The sequence below is a fragment of the Homo sapiens genome, chromosome 19 (assembly GCF_000001405.40).
Source record: "Homo sapiens chromosome 19, GRCh38.p14 Primary Assembly".
NCBI lineage: Eukaryota > Metazoa > Chordata > Mammalia > Primates > Hominidae > Homo > Homo sapiens.
Genome location: NC_000019.10, coordinates 1,316,836 through 1,338,966, shown reverse-complemented (window position 1 = coordinate 1,338,966; position 22,131 = coordinate 1,316,836). Strand labels below are relative to the sequence as shown.

The 22,131-nt window shown below is 55.8% G+C and overlaps 3 annotated features.

Moving 5' to 3' along the window:
• Window positions 2,804-2,853: an enhancer, noted in NCBI's record as "active region_13610". NCBI's record gives its function as "activates an Ori minimal core promoter by ATAC-STARR-seq in GM12878 lymphoblastoid cells {active_cell/tissue: GM12878}" and the evidence as "EXISTENCE:reporter gene assay evidence [ECO:0000049][PMID:35858748]".
• Window positions 13,440-13,951: an enhancer, noted in NCBI's record as "H3K27ac hESC enhancer chr19:1325015-1325526 (GRCh37/hg19 assembly coordinates)". NCBI's record gives its function as "activates a minimal SCP1, AML or CMV promoter by ChIP-STARR-seq in naive H9 embryonic stem cells {active_cell/tissue: H9 hESC(naive)}" and the evidence as "EXISTENCE:reporter gene assay evidence [ECO:0000049][PMID:30033119]".
• Window positions 13,952-14,465: an enhancer, noted in NCBI's record as "H3K27ac hESC enhancer chr19:1324501-1325014 (GRCh37/hg19 assembly coordinates)". NCBI's record gives its function as "activates a minimal SCP1, AML or CMV promoter by ChIP-STARR-seq in primed H9 embryonic stem cells {active_cell/tissue: H9 hESC(primed)}" and the evidence as "EXISTENCE:reporter gene assay evidence [ECO:0000049][PMID:30033119]".

The following is a 22,131-nucleotide window of genomic DNA, read 5'->3' as shown; positions in this document are numbered from 1 at the left end:
CGCCTCCTGGGTTCAAGCGATTCTCCTGCCTCAGCCTCCTGAGTAGTTGGGATTACAGGCACCCACCACCACGCCCCACTAATTTTTGCATTTTTAGTAGAGACATGGTTTCACCATGTTGGCCAGGCTGGTCTTGAACTCCTGATCTCGTGATCTGCCGGCCTCAGCCTGCCAAAGTGCTCGGATTACAGGTGTGAGCCACCGCACCCAGCTTTTTTGAGACAGAGTCTCGCTCTGTTGCCCAGGCTGGAGTGCAGTGGCACGATCTGAGCTCTGTAACCTCCTGGGATGAACCTCCTGGGTTCAAGTGATTCTCCTGTCTCAGCGTCCCGAGTACTTGGGACTTCAGGTGCCCACCACCACGCCCAGCTAATATTTGTATTTTTAGTAGAGACGGGGTTTTACTATGTTGGCCAGGCTGGTCTTGAACTCCTGACCTCAGGTGATCCACCCTCCTCAGCCTCCCAAAATGCTGGGATTACAGGTGTGGGCCACCGCACCCGGCCCCAAGTTGCTTTTCTAAAACCATACTCCCACCTGGCATCCCTAGAAACAGACCCAGGAACTGAAACCCTGACCTCCTTCTCCGGAGTTGGGAGACAATGTATCACAGGAGCAGGACCAGAGTAACACATGCCTTAGCACCCTCCCAGCTGGGAAACATACTTGCAGTTTTTGCTGGAAAGGGCTTAATAACCCCATCCCAGAGAGCTGTGTCAGCTCATGACAAGAGAAGTGGTCGTTCGGAAAAGATGAGGAGGATGGTAACAGAAGTCAAAGGGCTAACGAGCTTGGGAAAAAATATTTTGGCTCCTAGTGGTAAATTTTCTAAAAGGGAGAAACCGGCTGGGGTGGTGGCTCACACCTGTAATCCCAGCACTTTGGGAGGCTGAAGTGGGCGGATTGCTTGAGCCCCGGAGTTCGGGCTCAGCCCAGGCAACATAGTGAGACTTGGCTCCTTAAAAAATGGAAAAAATTAGCTGGCCATGGTGGTGGGCGCCTGTAGTCCCAGCTACTCAGGAGACGGAGGCCGGAGTCGAGGCTGTAGTGAGCCGAGATCGTGCCACCGCACTCTAGCCTGGGGGACAGAGTGAGGCCCTGTCTCGCTCTGTTGCCCAGGCTGGAGTGCAATGGCGCGATCTCGGCTCACTGCAATCTGCGCCTCCTGGGTTCAAGTGATTCTGCTGCCTCAGCCTCCTGAATAGCTGGGACTACAGGCATGCACCACCACGCACAGCTAATTTTTGTATTTTTAGTGGAGACGGGATTTCACCATGTCGGCCAGGCTGGTCTCAAGCTCCTGACCTCAGGTGATCCACCCGCCTCAGCTTCCCAAAGTGTTGGGATTACAGGCGTGAGCCACGGTGCCTGGCCCAAAAATTGTTTAAAAAATCTATTCTACCAGGGAGGCCGAGGCAGGAGGATCACTTGAGCCTAGGAGTTTTTTAATTTTTTTGTTTTCCTTCTTTTTAATAAAAATTGAGATGGGGGGTCTCACAATGTTACCCAGGCTGTTCTTGAACTCCTGGCCTCAAGCACTCTTCCCACCTCTGCCTCCCAAAGTGTTCACATTAAAGGCGAAAGTCACCAACCACGGTCAAGCCCAGGAATTTGAGTCTAGCCTGGGCAATATGGTGAGACCCCATTTTTAAGAAAAAGTCAAAGTAACCAGTCATAATAGTGCATGCCTGGAATCCCAGCACTTTGGGAGGCCGAGGTGGGTGGATCGCCTGAGCTCAGGAGTTCGAGACTAGCCTGGCCAACATGGCGAAACCCCATCTCTACTAAAAACACAAAAATTAGCCAGGTGTGGTGTCAGGCGCCTGTAATCCCAGCTACTCGGGAGGCTGAGACTGGAGGATCACTTGAGCCCCAGGAGGTCGAGGTTGCAGTGAGCCAAGATTGTTCTACTGTACTCCAGCCTGGGTGACAGAGTGAGACCCTGTCTCAAAAAGAAAAGGAAAATAATAAATAAATAATAAAAATAAGATAAAGTCTATTAATAATAGAAAGAAGAAGGGCCAGGTCCGGTGTCTCACGCCTGTACTCCCAGCACTTTGGGAGGCCGAGGTGGGCGGATCACTTGACGTCAGGAGTTCGAGACCAGCCTGGCCAACATGGTGAAACCCGTCTCTACTAAAAACACAAAAATTAGATGGGTGTGGTGGCGCGCGCCTGTAATCCCAGCTACTTGGGAGGCTGAAGCAGGAGAATTGCTCGAACCCAGGAGGTGGAGGTTGCAGTGAGCCAAGATCCCGCCACTGCACTCCGGTCTGGGCGACGGAGCGAGACTTCATCTGAAAAATAAAATAAATAAATAATAATAGGAAGAAGAAGAAAAGTTCCACAGAGTGCTTTAAACAGCCCCGCCATTCCTCCGCCGTGGGGCAGTCAGCCTGCTGACTCCCGGGGGGCAGCTGAGAGGCACTCGCTAATGGCACAGGTAGCCCAAGCTGGAGCCTTTGGAGGCATGACCTGGTCTCCTGGCCCCGGGAAAAGGTGGTCTCCTTGCTTCCCTCCTGCCGCTGCTGGTGACCGTGTTTGGGTGGTGGCCCCCGGCCTGTGCTGAGCTGGGGGGTTGCCTTTCTGTAACCAGGGGCAACGGCGTCATCGCACCCCAGCCCGGGTAGCCCATGTGTGTGCCTGTCTGTGTCTGTCGCCCACGCTGGCCCCAAATCTATTTTGAAACCATTTACATTTTCACCTCCGGGCAAATGACGGCTTCACTCAGTGTTCGTTTGGGGAAGCAGGTTTCTCTGATGCTATTTGGGGACCTGCCTAGTGCCCGGCAGGGTGAGGAGTCCGCTTCCTCCTTGCCAGGCCTGTGCAAAGCTTTACCAGCATCCCTAGATGTGGGAACCCACAGCATCTCCAGGGCTCCCTCGGGCCAGGGTCCTCAGGTGCCACCAGCCCCTTCTCCCACCGGGAGCAGAGGGCGTTCTCAGCAGCTGTTGAGCGACGCTGGGATGAGAGCGGGTCTTGCTGAGAATGGCCTCCTGCTGCACCACTGTGGGTGGACACCCAAGGTGACCCAGGGCCAGTGGGCCCAAGGGGCCAACACACCTCAAGAGCTGCTCCAGGGCCGGGTGCGGTGGCACACGCCTATAATCCCAGCACTTTGGGAGGCCGAGGAGGGTGGATCACGAGATCAGGAGATTGAGACCATCCTGGCTAACATGGTGAAACCCCGTCTCTACTAAAAAAATACAAAAAATTAGCCAGGTGTGGTGGCGGGTGCCTGTAATCCCAGCTACTCGGGAGGCTGAGGCAGGAGAATGGCGTGAACCTGGGAGGCGGAGCTTGCAGTGAGCTGAGACTGCGCCACTGAACTCCAGCCTGGGTGACAGAGCAAGACTCCGTCTCAAAAAAAAAAAAAAAAAAAAAAATTAGAGCTGCTCCAGGCTTCATTCCACAGAGTACGTGCCAGGAGGAGCTCAGAAGTGGACAAAGAGGCCTGAGCCTGACCCAAGGAGATAGCAGGTCCTAGGCCTGTCCAGACAGCGCTGCCGGACGTAGCAATAAGAATACGGGACAAGCCGGGCGCGGTGGCTCAGTAAGCCATGATTTTGCCACTGCACTCCAGCCTGAGCAACAGAGCAAGACTCTGCGATCCACCTGCGATCCTAACAGTGTGGGAGGCCGAGGCTGGCACATCACCTGAGGTCAGGAGTTCGAGACCAGCCTGGCCAACATGGTGAAACCCCATCTCTACTAAAAAATACAAAAATTATGCCTGTAATCTCAGCACTTTGGGAGGCCAAGGCAGGCAGATCACCTGAGGTCAGGAGTTCGAGACCAGCCTGGCCAACATGGTGAAACCCCATCTCTACTAAAAAATACAAAAATTATGCCTGTAATCCCAGCACTTTGGGAGGCCAAGGCAGGCAGATCACCTGAGGTCAGGAGTTTCAGACCAGCCTGGCCAACAGGTGAAACCCCGTCTCTATTAAAAAATACAAAAATTAGCTGGGTGCGGTGGCGGCGCATGCCTGTAATCCCAGCTACTCAGGTCGCTGAGGCAGGAGAATTGCTTGAACCCGGGAGATGGAGGTTGCAGTGGGCCAAGATCACGCCACCGCACTCCATCCTGGGCGACAGAGTGAAACTCCGTCTCCAAAAATAGCAACAACAACAAAACACACTTGCGGGTCCATCTTAGCCGGGAGCTCTAAGGAGAAGCTGGAGCATCCACGGGGACCAGGGCCCTGTAAGTGGCAGCAGGTTCCGGCACCAGCCACCCTCCGGAGACCCCGCTCTGCATGCATCCAAGTGACAGACAAATGACTGCGGCCGGCAGCTGGCGTTCTCCTTGGCAGGAGGGCCTGTCTTTTTTTGTTGTTGTTTTTTTTTGAGACGGAGTCTCGCTCTGTCCCCCAGGCTGGAGTGCAGTGGCGTGATCTCGGCTCACTGCAAGCTCCGCCTCCCGGGTTCACGCCATTCTCCTGCCTCAGCCTCCAGAGTAGCTGGGACTACAGGCGCCCGCCACCACGCCCGGCTAATTTTTTGTATTTTTAGGAGAGGCGGGGTTTCACCGTGTTAGCCAGGATGGTCTCGATCTCCTGACCTCGTGATCCACCCACCTCGGCCTCCCAAAGTGCTGGGATTACAGGTGTGAGCCACGGTGCCTGGCCCAGGAGGGGCTGTCTGAGGTGAGGCAGGAGGTCCTGTTCCCCAGCCCCACCCAAGGTTCCATAGCAGGGCCACGGCCGGCAGACCCCTCGACGACTGTGAATACAGCCCTGCTCCGGGCCTGGTCGCCACATCTCAGCTCAGAAATCAACGCTGTTTACAAACAGGGCCCAGGCATCCAGCCTCTCTCTTGCCCCCCAGGTCCCCAACTCCCCCGTGGATGAAATGACGGATCACCCCCAAGAGGGAGCAGCAGTCGCGCCCTCCATGGGCGGCGGGGGCGGCTGAGTGCCTAATGCACGTCTCAGCCTCCTCGCCTTGTCAAACGCATCAGCCCGAAGCCGGCCCGAGAGGCAATTAGCAGATCGAGCCATGAATCACCGATCGCTGCTGGGGTGCGGCCGCCTCGGACGCCTCGTCGCCGCAGTTGTGGGCTGATTATGCATTCGCTGTAGGAGAGGAAGCACTAACTCCAGACCTCGTGTTTTATTCATGGATCTGGGCTTCATGCAACCATCACAAGTTTTACCGGGGAAACCGAGGCCAACAGGCACAACGTGCAAAGCGCTGCTGATCTGGGCCTCCCAAAGTGCCGGGATTACAGGCACGAGCCACGGTGCCCAGCTATTTTATTTAATAAATACATAAATGTGGCTGGGCACCGTGGCTCATGCCCCTGTAATCCCAACACTTTGGGAGGCCGAGGTGGGCGGATCACCTGAGGTTGGGAGTTCCAGACCACCCTGGCCAACATGGAGAAACCCTGTCTGTACTAAAAATACAAAAATTACCGGGCGTGGTGGCGCATGTCTGTAATCCCAGCTACTCAGGAGGCTGAGGCAGGAAAATCACTTGAACTTGGGAGCCGGAGGTTGCAGTGAGCCGAGATTGCGCCACTGCACTCCAGCCTGGGCAACAAGAGCAAAACACACACGCGCGTAGACACAGACAAATCCTTTTTTTTTTTCAGGCAGAGTCTTGCTCCGTTGCCTAGGCTGGAGTGCAGTGGCAAAATCATGGCTCACTGCAGCCTCAACCTCCTGGGCTCAAGTGATCCTCCCACGTCAGCCTACCAAGTAGCTGGGATTAGAGGCGTGGACCATCACACCCAGCTCATGTTTTCTTTTTTGTAGAGATGGGGTTTTTCTGTGTTGCCCAGGCTGGTCTCAAACTCCTGACCTCAAGTGATCCACCTGCCTCAGCTTCCCAAACTACTAGGATTATAGGTGTGAGCCACCGTGCCCAGACTGGGTTTGTTTTTTTTTAAATTTAATTTGAAAAATTTTTTTTTGAGGCTGGGCGTGGTGGCTCACACCTGTAATCCCAGCACTTTGGGAGGCTGAGGCAGGCAGATCACGAGGTCAGGAGACCGAGACCATCCTGGCTAACACAGTGAAACCCCGTCTCTACTAAAAATACAAAAAATTAGCTGGGTGTGGTGGCGGGTGCCTGTAATCCCAGCTACTCGGGAGGCTGAGGCAGGAGAATCACTTGAACCTAGAAGTTGGAGGTTGCAGTGAGCCAAGATCGTGCCACTGCATTCCGGCCTGGGTGACAGAGTGAGACTCCATCTAAAAAAAAAATAATAATAAATAAATAAATAATAAAAACAAAATAACCTGTATATTCTTTAAAACTCATCACTGCTGGGCCAGGCATGGTGGCTCACGCCTGTAATCCCAGCACTTTGGGAGGCTGAGATCGGTGGATCACTTTAGGTCAGGAGTTCGAGACCAGCCTGGCCAAGATGGTGAAACCCTGTTTCTACTAAAAATATAAAAATTAGCTGGGCGTGGTGGCAGGTGCCTGTAATTCCAGCTACTCAGGAGGATGAGGTGGGAGAATCACTTGAACCCGAGAGGCAGAGGTTGCGATGAGCCGAGATTGCACCACTGCACTCCAGCCACGGCGACAGAGCAAGATTCCATCTCAAAAAAAAAAAAAAAAAAAAAAACCAACTCATCATAGCCTGAGAGTCCTTGCTGGGGACATTCACAGAAGTGACAGGTCCTTGTTTTCTTTCAACACCATTTTCAGATGTCTCGTTCTGAGTGCTGCAGCATTTTCCATAATCTACAACACGCAGCTTCCAGGGCTAGGCTGCTGGTGGGTTCCCAAGCCCCTCTCCCACCACACCGCCACATCCCCCAAGGGGCTGTGCTGGTCCCAATCCCAGTCCCAATCATGGCAGTGGCATGTTAAATGCCTGTGTGACACCGCCTCTCTTGACATCAGGGAGACCCCACGTCCCCATGGGGAAATAAACGCAGGTCACAGCTCAGGATGCTGCTACGGACAATGATCTTCCTGTGGGCAGCACGGGTGGTGCCCACAATGCCTGCAACCAGGACTGAGCAGGGACAAGGGACAAGGGACCAGGAGCCGGGCCCCCTCCTCCTTCCCGAGAGCCCAGTACACGCACCGACGCTGTCACCCCTGCCTCGTCCAGAGGGCGGAAGGGAAGGTGTCCCCTACTGTCTCCCAAAGGATGCTTGAAACAGCCACAAAGATAGCCTGCCTGGAAGGGCTCTCAACCCCCAATTTCCACAGCTGCCCCAGGGGACCCAGACAACGGAGGCGGGGACAGCAGAAAACACGGGACGACAGCAAGCATTGTGCGCCCCGCGCCTGGCCGCGTGAGAGGCCGCAGCTTTCTGCAGCCGTGTCCGTCTGATTTGGGGGGAACTGGAACCGGGGGAGGGGTGCAGCCCAGCCCATTGTCTGCTGCTTCCCTTCCAGCCCCTCCCCAGGCAGCCCCTAGCCCCCACTCCAGACTCCGGAGGCCCAGCGTGCCCCGGAGGAATCCACACAGCTGTTTTTTTTTGTTTTTTTTTGTTTTTTTGAGATGGAGTCGCTCTGTCGCCCAGGCTGGAGTGCAGTGGCGCTATCTCAGCTCACTGTAAGCTCCGCCTCCCAGGTTCACGCCATTCTCCTGCCTCAGGCTCCCGAGTAGCTGGGACTACAGCTGCCCACCACCACGCCCGGCTAATTTTTTGTATTTTTAGTAGAGACAGGGTTTCACCGTGTTAGCCAGGATGGTCTCGATCTCCTGACCTCTTGACCCACCTGCCTCGGCCTCCCAAAGTGCTGGGGTTACAGGTGTGAGCCACTGCGCCCAGCCATTTTTTGTATTTTTTGTAGAGACAGGGTTTCACCATGTTGGCGAGGATGGTCTCGAACTCCTGACCTCGTGATCCGCCCACCTCAGCCTCCCAAAGTGCTGGGATTACAGGTGTGAGCCACCGCACCCGGCCAATTTTGTATTTTTAGTAGAGACGGGGTTTTTCCATGTTGGTCAGGCTGGTCCCGAACTCCTGACCTCAGGTGATCTGCCCATCTCGGCCTCCCAAAGGGCTGGGATTACAGGCGTGAGCCACCGTGCCCGGCTATTTTTTGTATTTTTAGTAGAGAAAGGGTTTCAGCATGTTGGCCAGGATGGTCTCAAACTCCTGACCTCATGATCCGCCCACCTCAGCCTCCCAAAGTTCCAGGATTACAGGTGGCTGTGAGCCACCACGCCCAGCCCCACACAGCTTTTTATAGCTGGAGTCTCTGAAGACATCTCAGGCGCAGAGTGACCCCCAGTCCATGGCGGCCACGTGGAGACCTCGGCTCCCAGGCAGGCTTCTTCCCACCTGGCCGCTGTGGGTACCCCCTCTCCAACCTCAGCCCACCTCCCCCACACCAGGGGCTTTCTCGGAGAAGCACCCACCCTACCTCCCCTTCCCAACTGGAATCTGAAACAAGCCTCTGCCATCTCTCAATGAGTTGCAGTTTGGAAGTGTTTTTTGTTTTGTTTTGTTGTTGGAGACTTTAATCTTTTTTGTGGCGGAGAACATTCTAGAAGGTAAAAGGAAGCAGCACCTTGCGAGAAGCCAAAGATTAAAAACTCAGGGCCAGGCCAGGCGCGGTGGCTCATGCCTGTAATCCCAGCACTTCGGGAGGCCGAGGCGGGTGGATCACGAGGTCAGGAGATCGAGACTCATCCTGGCTAACACGATGAAACCCCATCTCTACTAAAAATACAAAAAATTAGCTGGGCACGGTGGCGGACGCCTGTAGTCCCAGCTACTCGGGAGGCTGAGGCAGGAGAATGGCGTAAACCCAGGAGGTGGAGCTTGCAGTGAGCCGAGATCGCACCACTGCACTCCAGCCTGGGCAAAAGAGCAAGACTCCGTCTCAAAAAAAAAAAAAAAAAAAAACTTCAGGGCCGGGCGCAGTGACTCACGCCTGTAATCCCAGCACTTTGGGAAGCCGAGGCAGGAGGATCACTTGAGCCCGGGAGTTTGAGGCCAACCTGGGCAACACAGTGAGACTCCCATCTCTGAAAGTAAAAATAAGGCTGGGCACGGTAGTTCATGCCTGTAATCCCAGCCCTTTGGGAGGCCAAGGTGCGTGGATCACCTGAGGTCAGGAGTTCGAGACCAGCCTGTCCAACATGGTGAAACCTTGTCTCTAGTAAATGTACAAAAATTAGTGGGGGGGTGGTATGCACCTGTAATCCCAGCTACTCGGGAGGCTGAGGTAGGAGAATCGTTTGAACCTGGGAGACAGAGGTTGCAGTGAGATGCGATCATGCCACTGCATTCCAGCCTGGACGATAGAGCCTCTGTCTCAAAAAAAATTTTTGTAATAAAAATAAAAACAAATTCTGTCCCAGAAGACTAGTTTACATGGGAAAAGAGCAGTGATATTAATGCAGTGTTAAGTGATAAATAGGTACAAATTAGCAGCTAAAACATCACTCTTTGAGAAAAGCAGGTGCATGCGTATGCGTCCACACCCGACACATGCCGGGTCGTGACTGGAATCGTATAAACAGTACTGGTTCTGGGTGGAGGTGCTAAGAGTCTGAGTTTTGCTGTTGCTGTGTGGTTTGGTTTGGGGTGCTTTTCCGTGTTGGTCAAATTTTCTAGGTTCCCGATGTCCTGTCCTAATTGGCGAGAAGAGCAGGTACGTCTTTTTTTTTTTTTTTTTTTTTTTGAGATGGAGTCTCACTCTGTCGCCCAGGCTGGAGTGCAGTGGCGCGATCTCAGCTCACTGCAACCTCCGCCTCCCTGGTTCAAGTGATTATCCTGCCTCAGCCTCCCAAGTAGCTGGGATTACAGGTGCCCACCACCATGCCCAGCTAATTTTTCTAGGTTTGTTTTTTTTGAGACAGAGTCTCCCTCTCTTGCCCACGATGGAGTGCAGTGGCACAATCTCGGCTCACTACAACCTCTGCCTCCTGATTCAAGCGATTCTCCTGCCTCAGCCTCCTATATATATATATATATATTTTTTTTTTTTTTTTTTTCAGTAGAGAAAAAAAATTGGGTTGGCCAGGCTGGTCTCAAACTCCTGACCTCAGGTGATCTGCCAGCCTTGGCCTCCCAAAGTGCTGGGATTACAGGCCTGAGCCACCGTGCCCAGTCTTTTTGTTTGTTTGTTTGTTTGTTTTGAGACGGAGTCTCGCTCTGTCGCCCAGGCTAGAGTGCAGTGGCACGATCTCGGCTCACTGCAAGCTCCGCCTCCTGGGTTCACACCATTCTGCCTCAGCCTCCCGAGTAGCTGGGACTACAGGTGCCCTCGACCACGCCTGGCTAATTTTTTTTATTTTTAGTAGGGACGAGGTTTTACTGTGTTAGCCAGGATGGCCTCGATCTCCTGACCTCGTGATCAGCCGGTCTTGGCCTCCCAAAGTGCTGGGATTACAGGCATGAGCCACTGCGCCCGGCCCTTTTTTTTTTTCTTTTTCTTTTTTGAGATGGGGTCTCACTCTGTCACCCCGGCTGGAATGCAGTGGCACGATGTCGGCTCACTGCAACCTCCGCCTCCCTGGTTCAAGCGATTCTTCTGCCTCAGCCTTTTGAGTAGCTGGGATTACAGGCGTGAGCCACTGCGCCCGGCCCCAGGTCCGTTCTTTTTCGGACAGCCAGGCTGACAGCAATCTGATGTTGGAGTCAGCATGGGGGTGAAAGGGCGGATGTCCCAGCAGCCCACCTCTCGACCCCAGCCCAGCTCTGACACTAATTCCCTGTGTGAGCAGGAGCTGGGGCTGGCCCGGCCTCCACCCTCTTCTGTACAGCCCTGACATCTGCAGAATCACAGACGGTCAGGTCTGCAGGGAACCGCAGAGAAGAAGGAGTGCCTTTAACTAATTCAGGGCACTCAAACCACAACACGCACACACAGACGCCTCTCACAGTGGAGGTACACATTTTCCAAAAATTAAAAACTGCTCGGCTGGGTGAGGTGGCTCACGCCTGTAATCTCAACACTTCAGGAGGCCAAGGTGGGTGGATAACTTGAGGTCAGGCGTTGGAGACCAGCCTGGCCAACACGGTGAAACCCCGTCTCTACTAAAGATACAAAATAGCCGGGTGTGGTGGCGGGCACCTGTAGTCCCAGCTACTCGGGAGGCTGAGGCAGGAGAATTGCTTGAATCCGGAAGGTGGAGGTTGCAGTGAGCTGAGATCGTGCCACTGCACTCCAGCCTGGGTTACAGAGAAAGACTCTGTCTCAAAAAATAAATAAATAAATAAATAAAAGAAGAAAGTGGTTGCGTAGCGTCAGGGCTGGGGCAGGGAATGGGAGTGAGGCTGACGCAGGTCATTAAGTTTACTTTAAAATGGTTACTTTTGCATCGTGTGAATTTCACCTCAATAAAAGTCACCTTCCTGATGTCCTCTCTGTCGCAAAGGTAAGGCAGGTTCGCCGGTAAATGAAATGGTAATCAGGGCGTGTGGCTCTCATCAGTCCTTAAAAGCACCTCCAGGGAGATTGGTTTGTGTGAACAGCACCATTTTTATGTAGCTACCAAAAAGCTATGACAGCAAAGACCTTGAGTCCCCAAAGCCGAGGCCAGCTCCTGGCCACGTCCCTGCTGGCCGCCAAGGCCCTCAGATCCTGCAGATCGAGAAGCAGCCACCTCTGAGCGAGGGTCTCAGGCCCACCTCATTGCTCCCGGGACCTCTGTTCTCAGGTTTGCAAATCTGAGCCTCCAGTCTGCTTCCGGCCCAGAGGGGCCACTGGGCTTCCGGCTCCAGCTCGGGGAAGGGGGTAGGAGAAACCAAGCCTCCTCGGAGTCCCAGCTCACACTCATGGGACCTCTGGCGGTGATCAGGGGACACCTAGGATGCTGACCAAGACCCCCAGCCTTTCTGGAGCCCGAGCCCCCTGGAGGGCCTATGAATCAGCATTTTTTTTTTTTTTTTTTGAGACGGAGTCTCGCTCTGTCACCCAGGCTGGAGTGCAGTGGCAGAATCTCGGCTCGCTGCAAGCTCCACCTCCCGGGTTCACGCCATTCTCCTGTCTCAGCCTCCCAAGTAGCTGGGACTACAGGCGCCCACCACCACGCCCGGCTGATTTTTTTATTTTTAGTAGAGACGGGGTTTCACCGTGTTAGCCAGGATGGTCTCGATCTCCTGACCTGGTGATCCGCCCACCTCGGCCTCCCGAAGTGCTGGGATTCCAGGCGTGAGCCACCGCACCCGGCCGAATCTGCCTTTTTGAGACAGGGTCTTGCTCTGTCACCCAGGCTGGAGTGCAGTGACATAATCATGGCTCACTGCAGCTGTGACCTCCTGGGCTCCCAAGATCCTCCCACCTCAGCCTCTTGAGTACGTGGGACTGGACTGCACATGCACACCACCATGCACAGCTAATTTTTTTGTATTTTTTAAAATAAAGACAGGATTGCACTATGTTGCCCAGCTCGTCTTAAACTCCTGGACTCAAGCAGTCCTCCCGCCTCAGCCTCCTAAAGTGCTGAGATGAGGCTGGGCGCGGTGGCTCACACTTGTAATCCCAGCACTTCGGGAGGCCGAGGCGGGTGGATAACGAGGTCAGGAGTTCAAGACCAGCCTGGCCAAAATGGTGCAACCGCGTCTCTACTAAAAGTACAAAAAATTAGCTAGGCGTGATGGCACATGCCTGTAGTCCCAGCTACTTGGGAGGCTGAGGCAGTAGAATCGCTTGAACCCGGGAGGCGGAGGTTGCAATGAGCCCAGATCTTGTCACTACAGTCCAGCCTGGGCGACAGAGTGAGACTATCTCAAAAACAAACAAACAAACAAACACCAAAGTGCTGAGATGACAAGCGTGAGCCACTGTACCCGGCTGGCATACTGCCACCATGCCCGGCTAGCGTGAACCACTCTGCCCTGTTAGCGTGAGCCACCGTGCCCGGCTGGCGTGGGCCACTGTGCCCTGTTGGTGTGAGCCACTGTGCCCAGCGGGTTTGAGCCACTGTGCCCGGCTGGTGTGAACCACTGTGCCCGGCGGGTGTGAGCCACTGTGCCCGGCTGGTGTGAGCCACCGTGCCCGGCTGGTGTGAACCACCGTGCCCGGCGGGTGTGAGCCACTGTGCCCCGTTGGTGTGAGCCACTGTGCCCAGCGGGTTTGAGCCACTGTGCCTGGCTGGCGTGAACCACTGTGCCCGGCGGGTGTGAGCCACCGTGCCCGGCTGGTGTGAACCACCGTGCCCGGCGGGTGTGAGCTACTGTGCCCTGTTGGTGTGAGCCACTGTGCCCCGTTGGTGTGAGCCACGGCGCCTGGCTGGAGTCTGCATGTTTAACACAGCGGTTCCCACACCAGACCAGCCTGGAGATGCCTACCCTGAAGGGCAGACGTTGTTCCCATTTCACAGCCAGGAACCCTGAGGCTCATTGGTTTGAAGACAGCCTGGCAGGGCCTGAGCCAAGATCTGCCCCCCAGGCCCCCGCATTCCTTCCTGGCCTCCCAGAGCCATCCCAGCGCCCCACTCTCCGCTCTCTCTGCTCCGGCGCTCAGCTCCTCACACCCCCTGAGCCTCCCAAGCCCACGGCCGGGCCCTTTGCACGGGGCATCTTCGGGAGGGGAACTGTCTGTTCTCCTTAAGCCTCCATCTTTACGCCGGCCGTTGTCTTGGCAACGGTCTACGGCTGACCTTTGTGCAGAAAAAAAGGGTGACCTTCCCCGCGCAGGCGCCCCCGGCCGCCGCCCCCCGCCGCGGCGCGGTTTAAAGGCGTCTGTCTAAACAATGCGTCATGGATTTCTCCGCCGGGCGTGCACGGGCCGAGAATTTCAATCCGGGCGGCTCCGCCGTTTCCTAAACTCGAGGCGTCCAGGGAGAGGGCGTTACACACACACTCGCCGGAGCGCTCGGGCCCTGGGAATCGGCAAACGCTGCGGGTTCCAGCCCCGCGACTCAGGCCGGGCGAAGATTAGAGTCACCGCCTCAGTTCCTCCATCTGTAAAGTGGGACCCAGGAGGGTCGGACCCCCAGGGGTGTGGCTGGCGGCAGCGTAGGTCTTCGGGGCTGCGGACTCCCGGCCCCCGGGACCCCCCTGTCCCGCTGTGGAAACTGGCACGGGGACCGGAGGGCGGATCCCCCGGGCACTTGCCGAGGCCACTGACCCAGGTCTGGATGTTCCCCGAGGCCCAAGGTCACCACTGGGCCCCCCCGGGGACTGACGAGAGGCCTCTGGCGGGAAAAGGGGCTGGCTCAGGCAGGCAGCAGGCCCCAGAACCCCCCGCACACGCGGGCACAGGAAGCCCCAGCAATGCCCCTCCCTCCAATTTCTCAACCCGTGATGGGAAAAGAAGAGAAAAGGAAGAAAGATTTCCTCCAAAGCTTCACTGTGGCAGAATTCCGCTCTGAGGTCCTTACCCGCCTCCAGGCAGCCCTCCCTGCTCGCCGCTCACCACGGGCACAGGGCACAAATTGTGTCCTTCTTCTGCTCTAAACTCTGCTGTGGCTCCCCAGTGCCCTCAGGAGAAAAACCAAACTCCTCCCTGCGGCCCATGAAGCCCTCAGCAGGCTTGGCATCCCCTGCTCCAGCCACACCAGCTGCCCGAAGGACACACCAGGCTCCAGGTGGCCCCCAGCCCTTTGCATTGGCTGCTCCATGAGAAACCTGGCTCCTTCTCGCCCTTCTGAACTCAGCTCAAAGGACCCCTCCTCCAGGAAGCCCTCCTGCCTGCCCCCTTAGACATTTCCAAGACAGAGAGAGACAGAGAGACGGGGAGATAACCAGCTCTTTCAAGCTCACGTCCTGTAGGCTCCCCGAGGGTAGGCACCAGCTCTTTCTTTTTTTCTATTTTATTTTTATGCTATTTTCAGACACTCATGGACATGGACTTGGTGCCAGACACCCCTCCAAGTGGTTTACAGAGATGAAGTTTTTGGTGCCATAAACACCGGTTATGCGACATCCTGAGGTGGGGACTGAGGTAGTTCCCTTTCACCAGTGCCCAATCAATGCATGTGTATTTTATATGGATGCCAGTCACGCTGCGCCAGGCCCACTCGAACGACCTCGTCATAACTCGGTCACATCTGCCAAGGCCCTATTTTTTTTTTTTTTTTTTTGAGACGGAGTGTCGCTGTGTCGCCCAGGTTGGAGTGCGGTGGCGCGATCTCGGCTCACTGCAAGCGCCGCCTTCCGGGTTCACACCATTCTCCTGCCTCAGCCTCCCGAGTAGCTGGGACTACAGGCGCCTGCCGCCACCACGCCCGGCTAATTTTGTTTTTGTATTTTTCATAGAGACGGGGTTTCACCGTGTTAGCCAGGATGGTCTCGATCTTCTGACCTTGTGATCCGCCTGCCTCGGCCTCCCAAAGTGCTGGGATTACAGGCGTGAGCCACCGCGCCCGGCCGCAAAGGCCCTATTTCTAAATAAAGTCCCATTCACAAGTTTCAGGGGCCAGGATGTGAACAGATCTTCCAGGAGACACCAAGCAGCCTCAGTGTCCATTGATGGATCCGGGCCCTCCCTTCAAGCCTTTTCCCATCCCCCCTCCACCTCCTGCACCGAGACCCCAGCATGAAGCTTCCTCGGGCCTCACCGACCTCTGCTAAGTCCAGGAGACGCTGTGAGCACCCGAGGGTAGGGCCTGAGGCTCCCTGCCCCCACCTGGGCTGGCACCTGGGAGAGGAGGGTTCCCCTCAGCAGTTAGCTGTGGGCTGGCTGTGCGCCCCTTGCCAAGCTCCTGGGACACGGGCTGAGCAGAGCCCAGGGTGCCCCAGCCCCTTCCCGAGTCCCTGCTGGGCCCGTGTCGCCCACTGATGGGGAGATGCCCAAGTTCTGTGACCCCGGGGGCAGGATGGTGAGGCGGCCCCTGGGGACCCAGAGTCCTGCCCTGCCAGGGCCTCCTGCACCCTCAACCCCAAACCCAGAAAAGTCAGGCGGAGCCCAAGGCCAGAGCAGGCCAGTCACAGCTGGGAGGCGGGGGGCCCAGGGGCCAGGAAGGCCGGGATGGAGCCCTCGGCCCATCGCCCTGCACAGCCGCCCCTGCGCTGCCTCTGTCTCCCCATGTCTCTCTGTCTCTCTCCGACTTGCTGTATCTCTGTATCCCTCTGTCTCTCTGTGTCTCTTTCTCTGTCTCTGTCCGACTCGATCTATCTCTGTCTCCCTCTGTCTCTCTGTCTCTTTCTCTGTCTCCTTCCCTCTCTGTCTCTGTTTATCTCTATTTCTGTCTCTCCCTCTCTCTGTTTCCCTCTGTCTCTGTCTTTGTCTCTCTGTTTTTGTCTGTCTCCCCCATCTCTGTCTCTCTGTCTCCCTCTGTCTCTGTCTCTCTGTCTCTGTCTCCTTCTGTCTCTGTCACTGTCTCTCCGTCTCTTCCTCCCTCCATCTCTGACTCTGTCTGCCTGCGTCTGTCTCTCTCTGTCTCCCTTTGTCTCTCTGTCTCTGACTGTCTCTGTCTCTCTGTCTCTGTCCCTCTGATGTCTGACCCAGGTGGGCAGTACCTGTGGTGGTTCTGCTGTCCCTGAAGGAATGACATGTTCTCGCTCTGCCTGAGAGACCTCCTTTGCCTCCTCTGGAGGGTCTGAGAAGACAGGAGGGCGCTGGGCCCACCACAGGGGCAGATGACCTACGCATCACCCTGCCCACCCCAGGGCATAGCTGCCACCAAAGGGCTGGGGGCTGCCAGCCGCGGTGCTCTGGCAGGGACAGGTCTTCCCCTGGCGCCCCCAGGGAAGAACAGGCAACCCATCCACCTGCCTCCTGCCACTTGCCTCCCACCCCTTCCAGCCAGCGGGTGAGGGGGCTTCCCGTGCCACTGGGCGGGCTGCAGGCATCCTTGGGTGCCACCCAAGCTCAGCCAGATTCCAGGAACCCCCTCCCGCCCCCTTCACCCCTCCTTTCCCCGGGATTTCTCGTAGCGGGGACAGGGCCACACGTCACTCCACACAGACCACCCCTCCCGATGCTGGAGCCCACAGCGGGAAAGTCGCCTCCCCACGGGTCTGAACGGAAAACTGGGGAGCCCTGGACACAGATTCACCCTCTCCTCACGCCCAATCTGCCCTCCAACGCCAGTGGTATGGGGGTGAGACGGCCGTCTGCAGGACCATGCGAACAGGGACAGGGACAGGGACCACCTGCGGAAAGCCTCCCTCACATGGGCGAGCCCCCGTGTGCAGCTGCCATGCTGCCTGACAATAGCTGCCACCACAGAGTCCCCATCACCGCCGCCTTTGCCGACGGAGAAACAGAGTCACAGGGTGGCAGGGTCACCTCCAGAAGTGGCAGGGCCAGCTGGGAGACACAGGGTCATGCCTGGAAGCTGTTTCCATGTGTCATGCTCCAAACACCAGGCCCTGCTGGGGAACACGCCCTCTGCTTCTGGCCTTGGTGGGACCTGCCCAGCCTCTGCTTGGCCTTCTGTGAGGGTCAAAGGCCCAAATCCAGGGCCACTGGAAGAGTTGGCAAGAACAGCATTCCCTACACACTCAGAAACGTCTGAAACAGCCCAAATGTCCATCAACACAAGAATGGGCAAACACGGCATGGCCCTCTGCCCACTGGAACACGACTGAGCCGTGAAAAGGAGCGAGGCTCTGACCCAGGCCACAGCGCAGATGCATCCTGAGGACGCCACACTCAGTGAGAGACGCCAGACACAGAAGGCCACAGGTGTGCAATCCCATTTCTATGAAATGTCCAGGGCAGGCAGATCCACAGAGACAGGGAGGGGAAGTGTGGGTGCCAGGGCTGGGGAGGGAACGGGGTTTCCTTTTGGAATGATGGAAATGTTCTAAAGTTGATTGGGTTGATGGACACACAGCTTTATGAAGACAATAAAAGAAATCAAGGCAGGGCACGGTGGCTCACACCTATAATCCCAGCACTTTGGGAGGCCGACCGAGGTGGGTGGATCACGAGGTCAGGAGATTGAGACCATCCTGGCTAACACCGTGAAACCCTGTCTCTAATTAAAAAAAAAAAAAAAAAAAATAGCCAGGCGTGGTGGAAGGCGCCTGTAGTCCCAGCTACTCAGGAGACTGAGGCAGGAGAATGGTGTGAACCCAGGAGACGGAGCTTGCAGTGAGCCGAGATCCTGCCACTGCACTCCAGCCTGGGCGACAGAGCGAGACTCTGTCTCAAAAAAAAAAAAAGAAAGAAAGAAATTGTATACTTTAGGCTGGGCGTGGTGGCTCTTGCCTGTAATCCTAGCACTTTGGGAGGCCGAGGCGGGTGGATCACCTGAGGTCAGGAATTTGAGACCAGCCTGGCTAACATGGTGAAACCCCATCTCTACTAAAAATACAAAGAAAAAAAAATTGTATACTTTAAATGAATGAACTGTATGCTATGTGAATAACTCAATAAAGCTGTTTTAGAAATTGCCTTCTTGGGCCGGGCGCAGTGGCTCACACCTGTAATCCCAGCACTTTGGGAGGCTGAGGCGGGCAGATCACCTGAGGTCAGGAATTTGAGACCAGCCTGGCCAACATGATGAAACCCTGTCTCTACCAAAAATACAAAAATTAGCTGGGCATGGTGGCAGGCACCTGTAATCCCAGCTACTGTGGAGGCTGAGGCAGGAGCGGTGGCTCACGCCTGTAATCCCAACATTTTGGGAGGCTGAGGTGGGAGGATCCCTTAAGCCCAGGAGTTCGAGACCAGTCTGGGCAATGTAGTGAGACCCTATCTCTACAAAAAAATGAAAAAATGAGATGGGAGGATCACTTGAGCCCAGGAGGTGGAGGCTGCAATGAGGTGATACAGAACCACTGAACTCCAGCTTGGGCAATGGGAGTGAGACCATGTCTCAAAAAAAAAAAATTGCCTTCCCTTCTGTCCCTTGTCACTTTTCCTTAGTGACATTGAAAGGTGTCATCTTCACCTTCCTCTGGAGCCACACGCAAAGAAGCCTTGTCTAGGAGTCTTGCTAAGTGGTAAGCCTGCCGTCTCTGGAGGTGTGTTAGTAGAGAAGACCGAGCCTTGGGTGGGGCTGTCTGCCCTGAGTGATGAATGGCCTCTGACTCTCAGGCCCAGCATCCAAAACCCCAAACTCAGCTGGGCGCAGTGGCTCGAGCCTGTAATCCCAGCACTTTGGGAGGCCAAGGTGGGTGGATCACTTGAGGTCAGGAGTTCGAGACCAGCCTGGCCAACATGGCAAAACCCCGTCTCTACTAAAATACAAAAAAAAAAAATTAGCTGGGTATGGTGACAGGTGCCTGTAATCCCAGCTACTCTACTTGGGAGGCTGAGGCAGGAGAATCGCTTGAACCTGGGAGGCAGAGGTGGCAGTGAGCAGGGATTGCGCCACTACATTCCAGCCTGGGTGACAGAGACTCCATCTCAAAAAAAAAACAAACAGGCCGGGCACGGTGGCTCATGCCTGTAATCCCGGCGCTTTGGGAGGCCGAGGCAGGCGGATCATCTGAGGTCGGGAGTTCGAGACCAGCCTGACTAACATGGAGAAACCCCATCTCTACTAAAAACACAAAATTAGCCGGGCATGGTGGCGCATGCCTATAATCCCAGCTACTCAGGAAGGCTGAGGCAGGAGAATAGCTTGAACCTGGGAGGCGGAGGTTGCAGTGAGCCGAGATCGCGCCACTGCACTCCAGCCTGGGCAACAAGAGCAAAACTCTTGTCTCAAAAAAAAAAAAAAAAAAAAAAAAAAAAAAAAAAAAACCCAAACTCCTGGCTGCTGGAATGATCCCCAACCCTCCTGGCTGAGCCGAGGCCCCGCGTGGGCGCCGTGCAGACAGCGTCCCAGTGGCCGGCCGGGCCAGAGCGCTGCATACACACACACGTGTGTTCACATGCACATGTACAACTGCTGGGGGATTTTCCCCCCTTCTTTTCTTTAAGAGGCCTGTCAGGGTCAAGGGGCGTCCTGCCACTGTATATTTCACGGTGCTTTCATCACGGCCGGCCGGCGGGGGGAGCCGCCCGGCCGGGCTCACAAAGGGCCCTCTAAGCCCTCCGCGTCCGCATTCTGTACGTGGGAGCCTGCCTCATTTCCTATTAACTTCAAAAGTCTCAATCCTATTACGGCGGGGGGCGGAGAAACAGCGGAATGGAAGAGGAGGCCTTTATTCCCCGGCCCGAACTGGGCAGAGGCCCCAGGGATCCTCATTAGGCAGGCAGTGTTCCCGAGGGTCTCAGGGGGTCTCTGACAGCGGCCCTCCCCACCCCACCAAGAGCCCGGAAACAGCGGTGGGGGCCCTGAGCCGCCCACAGTGGCCCTTCCCTCCCCGGCAGGAATGGCAGGTGGGAGGCGGGTCCGGCGGGCGCAGGTGCACGCTGCCAGGAGCTTCACTCACCGGAGCCTCTGGGCAGCGAGACCCGGGGCCTGACGTGGGTGTTAGCCCAAGGCCCCAGCCTTGGTTTCCTGCCCTGGAAAATCGGGGCGACCCCACTTCCCACTCTCCCAGCTCTCCCAGGCTCTTATCTGGGTAGAAGGAAGCACCTCCCACTCCTCGCTGAGCTGGGACCCTCTGGCCTCTTTGGGTTCTTCTGGTCTCGCCCCGTGCCCAGCAAAGTGTGCCGCCAGGCCGGGGAGTGTGCGTTAATCCTGGGGCACATGGAGCCACCGCAGGACTGAGGCAGAGGAGGGTCGCTGTCTGAGTTTCAGTTTTCTTTTTTTTTTTTGAGACAGAGTCTTGCTCTGTTGCCCATGCTGGACAGCAGCAGCACAATCTTGGCTCACTGAAACCTCTGCCTCCCAGGTTCAAGCAATTCTCCCTGCCTCAGCCTCCTGAGTAGCTGGGATTACAGACGCCCACCACCACGCCCGGCTAATTTATTTGTATTTTTAGTAGAGACGGGGTTTCACCATGTTGGCCAGGCTGGTCTTGAACTCCTGACCTCAGGTGACCCACCCACCTCGGCCTCCCAAAGTGCTGGGAGTACAGGCATGTGAGCCACCACACCCAGTCTGTGATCTCATTTCTATGAAGTGTCCAGGACAGGCCAACCCACAGAGGCAGAGAGGGGATGCCTGGGTGCCAGGGCTGGGGTGGGGATGGGGAGCAATGGCTAATGGGGATGGGGTTTCCTTCTGGGGTGATGAGAACGTTCTGGAACTAGAGAGAGGTGAGGTTTGCACAACTCTGCAAGTACGCTAAAAGCCACTGGATTACACCTTTAAGCAGGTGAACCTCATGGTCCGCGAGTTATAGCTCAGTGCTTTAAGCAGGTGAACCTCATGGTCTGTGAATTATATCTCAATGATCAAAAGCTCAGAGCCACTCACTCTGTTGCAGAGCTGGTTCCTTTATCCCGTCGCTGTGCACTGCAAGCCTTCTGCCTTCTGTGCGTGACTGTGACTTTCTAGAGGGAAGGGAACGTGTCTTCTTCCCCTTGCTGTATCGTCTCTGACTTGTCACAAATATGGTCAAACTGAACATGAAAATAAGTGTCAAGACCAGGCGAGGTGGCTCATGCCTGTGATCCCAGCACTTTGGGAGACCGAGGTGGGAGGATCACTTGAGCTCAGGAGTTGGAGACCAGCCTGGGCAACATACCGAGACCACCCCCACCATCTCAAAAAAAATAAAACAGAAAAGAAAAAGAAAAAAAAATGGGTGTCTGAAGATTGGAGGGATGCAGCCGGCCACAGGTGGGCAGTGAGGGAGCTGCTGGGCTGGCCACATGCAGGGATGGAGCAGCCCGTGCAAAGGCCCTGGGGCAGAGACAAAAGCAGCTTGTTTTAAAGACAGAACTGGGAGGTTGGGTCGGAGTGAGCGGGAAGGGGATGAAAGAGGGCTGGATCGATCCCTCCCACTCTATCCCCCAGGCTAAAGTGCAGTGGCACGATATCTCGGCTCAATGCAACCTCCCTCTCTCAGGTTCAAGCAATTCTTCTACCTCAGCCTCCTGAGTAGCTGGGATTACAGGCCCACACCATCACACCTGGCTAATTTTTGCATTTTCAGTAGAGATGAGGTTTCACTACGTTGGCCAGGCTGGTCTTGAACTCCTAACCTCAGGTGATCCACCCGCCTCAGCCTCCCAAAGTGCTGGGATTACAGGCGTGAGCCACCGTGTCCGCATCCAGCCCAGAGGGCTGGATTCTTGATTCTTGGTGCCTTGAACCCATATGGGGCAAGTGGACAGAGCTGTGGGTCAGGCGCAGAGCAGCAGAGCTCACGGGCGCGGGTCCAGATGGAGCAGCAGGGTGTCCCCTCACCTCCCAAAGCCTTGGGGTTGTATCTGGGCACCCCCCCCCCAAACCTGGAAACCCAAGCCTGCTTGCTCCCAGGTCTTCCAGCTTATTTCTCGAAGGATTTGCACATT